Consider the following 12024-nt stretch of genomic DNA (forward strand, 5'->3'; position numbering starts at 1 on the left):
TACATTTTAATATTTTAATACAATGAAAAAAGCAAAAAAGGAAAAATGTACCCTGTAGCATAGATCTTTTATTTATTTATTTACTTATTTATTCACTTTTTGGAGACAGAGTTTCGCTCTGTCACCCAGGCTGGAGTACAATGACGTGACCTCAGCTCGCTGCAGCCTCTGCCTCCCGGGTTCAAGTGATTCTCCTGCCTCAGCCTCCCGAGTAGCTGGGATTACAGGCATGTGCCACCACACCCAGCTAATTTTGTATTTTTAGTAGAGGCGGGGTTTCACCATATTGGTCAGGCTGGTCTCAAACTCCTGACCTCATATGATCCGCCTGCCTCGGCCTCCCAAAGTGCCGGGATTACAAGTGTGAGCCACCGCACCCAGCCTAGATCTCTATTTACTAATGTGGGAAGATTTTCCCTATATATGTTAAGGGGTCGGGGGGCGGAACAGGCTTTACAGTAGAAAAATAAAACACTGGAAAGCTATCTAGAGCAAAAAGGCTCACAATAGTGGTTGTCCTTACTGGCAGGGTTATAGGTAATTTTACATCCTTGTTTGTTTTAAATATAATCCAAAATACATTAAATATTTATTAAATAATAAATGTATTATTTCAGATTGTGTGAATATATTAATGAGGAAATTCACAGCCTTTAAACTCAATTTTATACCAAGTTTATCCTAAGAGAACAATTCAACCGGCCAGGCGCGGTGACTCACGCCTGTAATCACATCACTTTGGGAGGATCATGAGGTCAGGAGATCAAGACCATCCTGGCTAACACAAAAAATTAGCCAGGCGTGGTGGCACGCGGCTGTAGTCCCAGCTACTCAGGAGGCTGAGGCAGGAAAATGGTGTGAACCCGGGAGGCGGAGTTTGCAGTGAGCTGAGATCCCGCCACTGCACTACAGCCTGGGTGACAGAGCGAGACTCCGTCTCAAAAAAAAAAAGAAAAAAAAGAAAACAATTCAACCAGAGTTGAATGGCCAGGCGCACTGGCTCACACCAGTAATCCCAGCACTCTGGGAGTCCGAGGCAAGCAGATCACCTGAGGTCAGGAGACCAGCCTGGCCAACATGGCAAAACCCCGTCTCTACTAAAAATACACAAAAAATTAGCCGGGTGTGGTGACACATGCCTGTAGTCCCAGCTACTCAGGAGTCTGAGGCAGGAGAATCACTTGAACCCAGGAGGTGGAGGTCGCAGTGAGCCAAGATCATGCCTTTGCACTCCAGCCTGGGCGACAGAGTCAGACTCCGTCTCAAAAATAAATAAATAAATAAATAAATAAATAAATAAATAAATAAAAAATAAAGGAAGAAAAAACAAAATACATGAATGAAATTAACTGCAGCATTACATTAGGAATGTACGATTATTATGGTATTACAATAACATTGAATATTATACAGCATTTAAAAGTGCTAGATTTATAAAGAGTTCATAACAATCAATAAGACAAAATAATAACTTACAGAAAAATGGGCAAATTGTATCAACAGCCAAAAGGGAAAAATGGCCAATCATAAGACTGGCACCCAACTTCACTCAAAATTCAAGAAATATACAAACTCTCATTGTTTTTAGCTATCAGATTAACAGCGCATGCCTTGTGACCCAGCAGTTTTGTTTATTTTTATTTTATTATTATTATTTTTTGAGATGGAGTCTCATGCTGTCACCCAGGCTGGAATGCAATGGCACAGTCTTCACTCACTGCAAGCAAGAATTGAACATCCCGGGTTCAAGCAATTCTCCTGCCTCAGTCTCCCAAGTAGCTGGGATTACAGGCATGTACCACCACCATGCCTGGCTAACTTTTGTATTTTTAGTAGAAACAGGGTTTCACCATGTTGGCCAGGCTGGTCTCGAACACCTGACCTCAAATGATCCACCTGCCTAAGCCTCCCAAAGTGCTGGGATTACAGGCGTGAGCCACTGCGCCTGGCCATGACCCAGCAATTTTCTGATAGGAATTTACAAATATCTATTACCACTCACAACACCTCAATATAGGCAAAAGGAAATTCACTGCAAAATTCCTTCAAGTTAAAATGTAAGTATCAGTAGAGAAAAAGCTAAATAAATGTTGGTATATCTACAACCAACAATAAAATACCACTCAGCTATAATAAAAAATATCTAGATATTCTAAATATGGAAAGATACCCAAGCATCAATGAGTAAAAAACTAGAACAAAAACATGTATTAGGTTGGTGCAAATGTAATTGCAGCTTTTGCCATTACTAAAAAAAAAAAAAAAAAATACATATATATGTGGCAAAAGCTGTAATTTTGCCATTACCTACATATACATATGACAAAAACCACAATTACGTTTGCGCCAACCTAATAACATTGTGTTGAATTTTACATATGCAGATTTTAAATAATATCACAATAATAAGGAGAAAAGAGGCTTTTTTAACATTTCAAATTTGTGCTGTTGGAACTTATCATTATAGACTGCTTTTAGTTTAGAATAAAAATGACGGCCAGGCACAGTGGCTCATGCCTATAATCTCAGCACTTTGGGCTGCAGCAGCAGGAGGATCACTTGAAGCTAGCAGTTTGAGACCAGTCTCTATCCGTCTCTACCAAAAAATGTAAAAATTAGGCATAGTGGTGCAAACCTGTAGTCCTACCTACTCAGGAGGCTAAGGCAGGAGGATGACTTAAGCCCAGGGGGCTTAAGTTTACAGTGAGCTATGATTGTGCCACTGCACTCCTGCTTGGGCAACAGAGCACGAACCTAGCTCTAAAATAAATACATAAATGAAATTTTGTTTTGTTTTAGTGATAACAAAGACTTCAATAAAAATGCCCGCCGGTGATGCATGATAAAATGTTAAGCTAAAAAGCAAAGGTAATTATCGGTAAGGCCTTCAAATGTTTAACATAGTTGTACTGCCTTTTTATGGTTAATGTTTTAAATGTCAGTTAAAAAATACTATACTTTGTTAAAGTTAAAAAATACCTCCATCCCAAGTGAAAAAGATTAAAGTCTGATTTATTTTTGTTTAGCTCAATAACTAAAAGCCAAAGTAATGTGTTTAATTTATACAGAACACATCCTAGCAAAAGGAAATCACACTGCTTCTTGATATTCTATGGTAGGCTAACAGGAAGCCTTTATATTGCTCAGAGCTTTGCTTCCAGTGTGTTATAAAAGCTGTTGGTTTTCAGAAATGAATTGATCTGGGTTAAGCTGAGATCAAAAGCATATGAAAAATAATGTGTCAGAATATAGAAGTAAATGTTCAAATATTTAGTCTTAACATACTTTCAAAATGGCCTGAAAATTTTAACAACTAAGACTTACAGGTGATATATAATGTTATTCCCTGATTGATCAGATAATGTACCTTCTAATACCAAAACACAATTATAAAGATATTTGATGTTCTCAAAAGCCTGTATATTAAAGTTTTACAAATTAAAATGAGCTTCTATGTATGAATATATACACAATATACTTATTTTAGCATAAAGCTAAAATGAATCCTGAAAATGATTCATCAAATGGAAATTAGTACATATCTGTCAATAAGGATGCTCATACAGTGGGTATAAATATGTTTAAAACTAAAGAAATAGTTTGAGAAGATCATTTTTGCATGAAAAATGGATCACTACAAACTCTGTCATCTCTTCTGGTTATAAAGAATGAGAGAAGAGATAAATGTCATTCAGTTTTGGGACATTCACTGTCAGCTGCAAAACTAGACTCCAATAAAAAAATTAAATTTATTTGTAATGTTCACTATCATACGGAACTAAAATACCTTTGGCAAAGTCTGACCTCAATGGGACACGAATTTTTTTTTCTTTTCATTTTAAGTAGAGATGAGGTCTCGCTATGTTGCCCAGGCTGGTCTGGAACTCCTGGGCTCAAGCAATCCTCACACCTAGGCCTCCCAAAGTGCCAGGATTACAGGTGTGAGGCATGGCAGAAGCCAAGCCATGACTTTTAAATGGGGGGTAGGGGAAGCCATTATGAAAGGTAAATACAACAGATCATAATAAAGCTTCTAAGGTGAAAATTTTGAAAAATAATCCTCAAATTATGTAGTCAAATAAATAATCCAAATCCCCACTTAGAAACATTGCGATAATGTTTAACTTGATGCTTAAGTGTCTAAAAGGAATATAATGTAAGCTGGCCAAAAAGTAAAACTTGTACTCCCTATCAATAAAACTGATCATAAATCACTTTTTCTAACATAAAACAGCCTTTTCATACTAACTAGATGTAATAAGAATTTGCAGATTACATGCAGTTCCATATAAATTCCTCACTGAGATTATTTTAATTTCCTTTACTTTCAAAACTTGAAAGTAAGCCAGGTGTAGTGGGGTTCACACTTTGCGAGGCCAAAAGGGGGAGGACTGCTTGAGCCTGGGAGCTCAAGACCAACCTGGGTGCTGAGTGTGATGGCTCATGCCTGTAATCACAGCACTTTCGGAGGCCAAGGCAGGAGGATCACCTGATGTCAGGAGTTTGAATCCAGCCTGGCCAACATGGCGAAATCCCATCTCTAATAAAAATACAAAAATTAGCCGGACATGGTGGCGCATGCCTGATAAAATACCTCTCTCATTCTTTATAACCAGCTACTCAGGAGGCTGAGACAGGAGAATCACTTGAACCCAGGAGGCGGAGGTGGCAGTGAGTGGAGATTGCGCCATTGCACTCCAGCCTGGGTGACAGAGCAAGACTCTGTCTAACAAGAAAAGAAGAGAAGAGAAAAGAGAAGAGACCAGCCCAGACTCGGAAACATATTGAGGCTCTGTCTCTACAAAAAAAAAATTAAGTTAGCCAGGCATGGTGGCATGCACCTGTAGTCCCAGCTAATCAGGAGGCTGGGGTGGGAGGATTAATTGAATCCAGGAGGTCAATCCTGTAGTGAGCCACGATCATGCTACTGCACTGCAGCCTGGGCGACAGAGCAAGACTGTCTCAAAAAAAAACAAAAACAAACAAAAAAACTTGAAAATAGTTTTATTTTAACCCTTACAAGATAAAGTACAAGAACCTTATTATTTAAAAGTTCAGGCCGGGTGCAGTGGCTCACGCCTGTAATCCCAGCACTTCGGGAGGCCGAGGCAGGCGGATCATGAGGTCAGGAGATCAAGACCATCCTGGCTAACACGGTGAAACCCCATCTCTACTAAAAAAAAATACAAAAAATTAGCCAGGCGTGGTGGCGGGCGCCTGTAGTCCCAGCTACTCAGGAGACTGAGGTAGGAGAATGGTGTGAACCCGGGAGGCGGAGCTTGCAGTGAGCCAAGATCACACCACTGCACTCCAGACTGGGGACAGAGCGAGACTCTGTCTCAAAAAAAAAAAGAAGTTGAATTAGTTTCCTTAGGACTCAAAAATGTATTCCTTAGGAAGGCAATTAAGTAGAAAGTTGAAGCTTCAAAATCCTCAGAGGCCTGAGAAACATCAGGTAAACATTTTCCTCAGTGCCAGCATTAACTTAACAACAACTAAAAGCAGATTTAACTGAGAGAAATGTTTAAAAAATAAAGTCAACCACTGTGAGAACAACTTTCAAAAGATGCTGAAGATTTTTCCAAAAAATGCCAGGAAAATTCACTCTGTAGAGGATGTGCTATTAACATCCACATATTTAATATATTAGAATACTGTTTTTATCCTTCTAATTATAGAAAGGCTGTCATTTTGAGATCTGATAATTAGCAAAATGAAAAAGTATATGCTCTACAGAGGCTACGAAAGTTGGCTCTAACTCCCTGCAGACAAAACCAATTAGAAATCAGTGTCACAAAAGCACATTCTTGTTAGTTTACCAAGAATAACATCAACTAAGGACCAAAGCATTGTTTTAATTGTATATGTTCTATGAAACCCAGTCATCATAGAATAAATGCACTTGCAAGTTAGCAAATCTTTCAGGTGAGGATGACAAAATTTAACTTTAATATAAAGATCAGAATAACAGATATATGAAACATAAAAGACCACTTTCTCATCAAATGAATGGTTTCAGGTCAGTAATATGCCCTTAAAACACCTGCACAAATGCAAAAGGTAGAACTAGGTCTATCACAACCATTATAAACTCCTATAAAAGACAAGCAGAGTTAACTATTTATGAGCCCCTGATGGAGTCTAATTGCCACTCACTGATAGGTGTCTATCAGAAAAGTTTTGTACGACAAAGAATTGCATTCAAAGTCTTCCAAACAGGGCCAGGAACGGTGGCTCATGCCAGTAATCCCAGCACTTTGGGAGGCCCAGACAGGCCTTGAGGCCAGGAGTTCAAGACCAGCCAGGCCAATGTGGCAAAACCAAGTCTCTACAAAAAATACAAAAATTGGCCGGGCATTGTGGCGCACACCTGTCATCCTAGCTACTCAGGAGGTTGAGGCATGATAATTGCTTGAACCTGGGAGGCAAAGACTGCACTCCAGCCTAGATGACAAAGTGAGAGCCTGTCTCAAAAAAAAAAAAAAAAAGTACAGACTACCTTTTAGGACTGTGGTGAGAACTGATTTTACAAATATAAAGGTTTTTTCATTAAATTGTAAAGTAAAAGTAACAATTATAATTATGTTAAGTTCTGACCACTGAAATATGAATCTTCCTATACAAAAAGCGCTGCAACCTCAACTTTCAAGGAGCATCTGACCTCTAAACCTTACTTACCTTTAAGGACCTTATCCTTCCAGCCTAACCCTAGCTGGCATGTAACTGTCAACTAGCACATTTTATCATAGCCACTTTAACACAGGTTAAAGGCCTCCTCTGTATTTCTCCATTTTAACCTCCTCTATATTTTCCCATTGTTATTTCTCTGATGGTCATTTTTTTTAAAACACAGTGAGGCCATTTACCTTTACCTTGTACATCAAAATAGATGTCAAAGAGGACAGATTCTCAAGTCACACTGCCTGGGTTCAAATCCTGGTACTACTGTGCGGCTTTGTACTAGGTTAAGTTCCTTGTACCTTACGTATGTGAATAAAGGGATAATTGTGAGGGTTAAGTAAAATAATACAGGTAGAACCCTCAGACAACATTTACTTTATTTAAGTAAATGGTCAAAAAATATTAGTTTTGGGAAGGTGTGGTGGCTCACGCCTGTAATCTCAGCACTTTGGGAAGCCAAGGCGGGCAGATCATGAGGTCAGGAGTTCAAGAGCAGCCTGGCCAACATGGCAAAACCCAGTCTCTATTAAAAATACAAAAGTTAGCTCGGTGTGGTGGTGCACACCTGTAGTCTCAGCTACTCAGAAGGCAGAGCACGAGAATTGCTTGAACCCAGGAGGCAGATGATGCGGTGAGCAGAGATTGCACCACTTCATTCCAGCCTGGGCAAACAGAGCAAGACTCCCAATTAAAAAAAAAAAAAAAAAGTGCCGGTTTTTCTCAGGAAAATATTCATGTTGCAAAGCTTTCGTTTCCAAGTGGCCTAATGCAGGCTTGTTTTTTGTTTGTTTTTGTTTCTGTTTTTTAAGAGACAAGGTCATCCAGGCTGGAGTGCAATGGCATAAACTTGGCTCGTTATAGCCTCGATCTCCTGGGCTCAAGTGATCCTCCCACCTCAGCCTCCAGAGTACCTGGGAATACAGGTGCACACCACCATGACCAGCTAATTTTTTTTTTTAAGAGACGGGGGGTGGGGGGGGGGGTCTCACTATGTTGCACAGGTTGGTCTCAAACTCCTGGCCTCAAGCAATCCTTCCACTTTGGCCTCCCAAAGTGCTGGGATTACAGGTGTGAGCCACCACACCCAATCCAACCTTGCTTTTTAAAATAAGAGCACATATTGTTAGATTTCCATGCTTAAAGAGCTGCTAAGATTTTTTAGATATATAGTTCAAGGGTAAAGGCAGACAACACACTGAGAGTAGATCTGCTGGGATGGCAATGGAATTGAACTTGTATACTGTAAAAGTTAACACTGTAGCCAGCAAACCTAGGTATGGTTCCATGATAGCAGTATTTCACATTTATTAGGTTGGTGCAAAAGTAATCACAGTTCTGCCATTAAAGCAAAAATGCAAAAATGGCAAAAACCACGATTTCTTTTGCACCAACCTAATACCATGCCATTTCCTGTGTGCCCACTATACAAAACTTCTTGACTGCATGTTCTTTTATTGGGGCAAAAGCTAGGCAACAGAATAGATTTAAAATAATTTTAATACAAATGTAAGGCTTATTACTGAAGTTTTAGAAAATACACATATTGGCCGGGCGTGGTGGCTCACACCTGTAATCCCAGCACTTTGGGAGGTTGAAGTGGGTGGATCACCTGAGGTCAGGAGTTCGAGACCAGCCTGACCAACATGCAGAAACCCCGTCTTTATAAATATACAAAAAGCTAAGATCTTAGACCAGCCTGACCAACATGGAGAAACCCCGTCTCTACTAAATATACAAAAAGCTAAGATCTTAGCTTTATTCCTACTGAGTCATGTCTTTGCAGAATCAAGTTTCCCTTTTTTTTCTTTTTCTTTTTGAGACAGGATTTTGCTCTGTCCCTAGGCTGGAATGCAGTGGCACAATCATAGCTCACTGCAGCCTCAAACTCCCGGGCTCATGCAATTCTCCCACCTCAGTCTCCCAAGTATACATGCATGCCACCACATCAGGCTAATTTTTTAAAGAAATTTTTTGTAGAGTCAGTCTTGCTATGTTGACTAAGTTGGTCTCAAACTTTTGGGCTCAAGGGATACTCCAACCTTTGGCCTCCCAAAGTGCTGAGATTACAGGTGTGAGCCACCCATCCGACCAAGTTTCCCTTTTTAATACTGCAATAACTCAATGTTTTGTCCTTAGGAGTCCTTTAAAATCTTAAAAATTGAGGACCTCAAAGAATGTTAATTTACATGGATTGTATCTATAGATTTTTTATCACATTAGAAATTAAAACTGAAACATTTTAAAAATGAGTTAATCTCTTTAATCTGTAATGCATTGTATTATTTTGCAAATCTCTTTAATGTCTGGTTTAATATAAATAAACTGGGTTTTAATTTCTTCTCCAATCAGGTGTGGTATATTGTTTCGGTTAAAAGTATGTGAAGTAGGCCGGGTGCGGTGGCTCACACCTGTAATCCCAGCACTTTGGGAGGCCAAGGCAGGCGGATCACGAGGTCAGTTCGAGACCATCCTGGCCAACGTAGTGAAACCCTGTCTCTACTTTAAAAAAAAAAAATACAAAAAATTAGCTGGGCATGGTGGCGGGCGCCTGTAATCCCAGCTACTTGGGAGGCTGAGGCAGAATCGCTTGAACCCGGGAGGTGGAGGTTGCAGTGAGCCAAGATCACACCACCATTGCACTCCAGCCTGGGCAACAGTGTGAGACTCTGTCTCAAAAAAAAAAAAAAATTATGTGAAGTAAATCTGGCCTCTCACAGATATTTAGCTGAAAGGGGGGAGTTTTCTTGGATCCACTGAAAGGGTCTTGGGAACCCTCCAAGGGTCCTCGGCCCACACCCTGGAAGTAACTGCCCTATTGAACGCCCTGCAGAACACCCCATACAATCTGTCCTTCCAAAGAACTCTTTTCATCCAGATTTAAAACACAGCCCTTTCAAGTGTATTCTCCATTCACTAATAGTGATTTATTGACCGCCTATTTTTACAATGTCAACATTTTTAGAAAAGTTATACCTGGGTCAACCCAGTCTTCCCTAAAGTCCTATCACCAAAAAGACCCTGAAAATACCAACACAATCATGTAGACTTTTAATAGTCATTATTAAAAATAAGTACCAAGGAATGAGAACTTGTATTATAACTTTTACAGATAGGCCATGGTGAAAGCTATCAGTTTTAAAGAACTTGTTTCAAAGATTATTTTAGCTTCTGAATATGAAATACTTGGGAATGCAAAGCACTGTTTCTACGGAATATTAGTAAATAAAAATATAGTAGTAATAAAGGGATATGCCATGGTATTTACTTTTTAAGCATTCGTCACATTAAATTCCTCTTTTACCACTTTTAATAAAACTTGGCAATAATAATGATCTGTATTGTATTGGTATTGGTATTGGTATTGGTATTGGTATTGGTAGGTCCTCTAAACAGGAAAGCATTATTTCTTTCATGTCATTCACAGACATTTTATGATACTTCAATCACTGAATGGGATGAGAAGAAATTTCAGATCCTTCCCCCTACATCAATTATAATTGGTGCACATATTACTTCAGCATGCCTATATCAAGCCATGCTGTAATCAAGTATATATAATTTCACAGCTTTTCCAAGGAGGTTCTCTAGTAACTAGTTTTCATTGTGTTTTTTCCATACCTAGAATCCAGGGAAGAAAAAATTTCTGGCAGAAAACTGAGGCTGCCAAGGTTAAGAAAGGATTATATACTTTAAAAAGATTCCAAAAATGATCTGTCTGTCAGGGGGAAGGGATTTAGGAAAGAGGTTGGACTCTGACCCCAACCTTGCCTAAGCAACACCCAAACCTACCTGGGCACTAAGGGCAGGGGAAGCTTAAACATCCCACACCCTAACTTTAAGGCCTCATTAGATCTGCAAACACACGCCTGGAGATTCAACATCAGGGTCAAGAAACGAACAGAAGTGAGACTAAAAATCAGTTTGAGCCTCAAAAAATACTACGAGATGGCAAAATCTTTGTTGTGTCAATATCCCATCTAAAGATGACACATTTGCAATAGTATTAAAGAAAGAAGGGCCGGGCACAGTGGCTCATCATGTCTGTAAGCCCAGCACTTTGGGAGGCCAAGGCGGGTGGATCACTTGAGGTCAGGAGTTCGAGACCAGCCTGACCAACATGGTGAAACCCCATCTCTACTGAAAATACAAAAACTAGCGGGACGCGGTGGTGGGCGCCTATAATCCCAGCTACTGGGGAGGCTGAGACACGATAATCACTTGAGCCCAGGAGGCAGAGGTTGCAAAGTGAGCCGAGACAAGTGAACTGAGATGGCGCCACTGAACTCCAGCCTGGGTGACAGAGCGAGACTCCACAGGAAAGGGAAAGGCAAAGGGAAAAGGAAAGGAGAAAGGAAAAGGGGAAAGGAAAGGAGGAAAGGGAAGGGGAAAGGGGAATGGAAAGGAAAGGAATTAAGACAAATTCAAGACCAGCCAGAGCACCATGGCGGGACCCTATAAAAAAAATTTTTTTTTTAATTAGCTAGGCATGGTAGCATGCACCTGTAGTTCCACCTACCTGGGAGGCTTAAGACAGACAGAGAGAGAGAGCAAGAGAAGCAAGCCTGAGCAACACAGTGAGATACCATCTCTACAAAATGTTAAAACATTATCCAGACATATTGGCACGTGCCTGTAGTCCCATCTACTGCAGTGAGCTATGGTGGCGCTGCTGCATTCCAGCCTGGGAAACACAAGACCTCATCTCTAAAAAATAATAATAAGGCTGAGTGCAGTGGCTCACGCCTGTAATCCCAGCACTTTGGGAGGCCGAGGTGGGCAGATCACTTGAGGTCTGGAGTTCGAGACCAGCGAGGCGGGCGGATCACCTGAGGTTGAGGGTTCGAGACCAGCCTGACCAACATGGAGAAACCCTGTTTCTACTAAAAATACAAAAAATTAGCTGGGCATGGTGGCACACACCTGTATTCCCAGCTACTCAGGAGGCTGAGGCAGGAGAATCTCAAACTCGGGAGGTAAAGGTTGCGGTAAGCCGAGATCACGCCACTGCACCCAAGCCTTGGCAACAACAGTGAAACTGTCTCATAAATGAATGAATGAATGAATGGATGGATGGCAGGCCAAGGGCAGTGGCTCACGCTTGTAACCTCAGCACTTTTGGAGGCCAACCAAGTGGATTGCTTGAGCCTGGAAGTTTGAGACCAGCCTGGGCAAGGTGGCAAAATCTCATCTCTACAAAACATATTTAACACAAAAATTAGGCCAGGCACCATGGCTCATGCCTGTAATCCCAGCACTTTGGGAGGCTGAGGTGGGCAGATCACTTGAGGTCTGGAGTTCGAGACCAGCGTGGTCAACATGGCAAAACCCCATCTCTACTAAAAA

General features: G+C 40.6%; 1 protein-coding gene across 6 annotated transcripts in view; it reads right to left on the reverse strand.

Annotated features, from left to right (window-relative positions):
- The window catches only part of KDM5B (lysine demethylase 5B), an 83927-nt gene that overhangs the window by 54044 nt on the left and 17859 nt on the right, over window positions 1-12024 (reverse strand). The gene's annotated exons all lie outside the window — the stretch shown is intronic.

This window comes from Homo sapiens, chromosome 1 (assembly GCF_000001405.40).
Source record: "Homo sapiens chromosome 1, GRCh38.p14 Primary Assembly".
NCBI classification, from domain to species: Eukaryota; Metazoa; Chordata; class Mammalia; order Primates; family Hominidae; genus Homo; species Homo sapiens.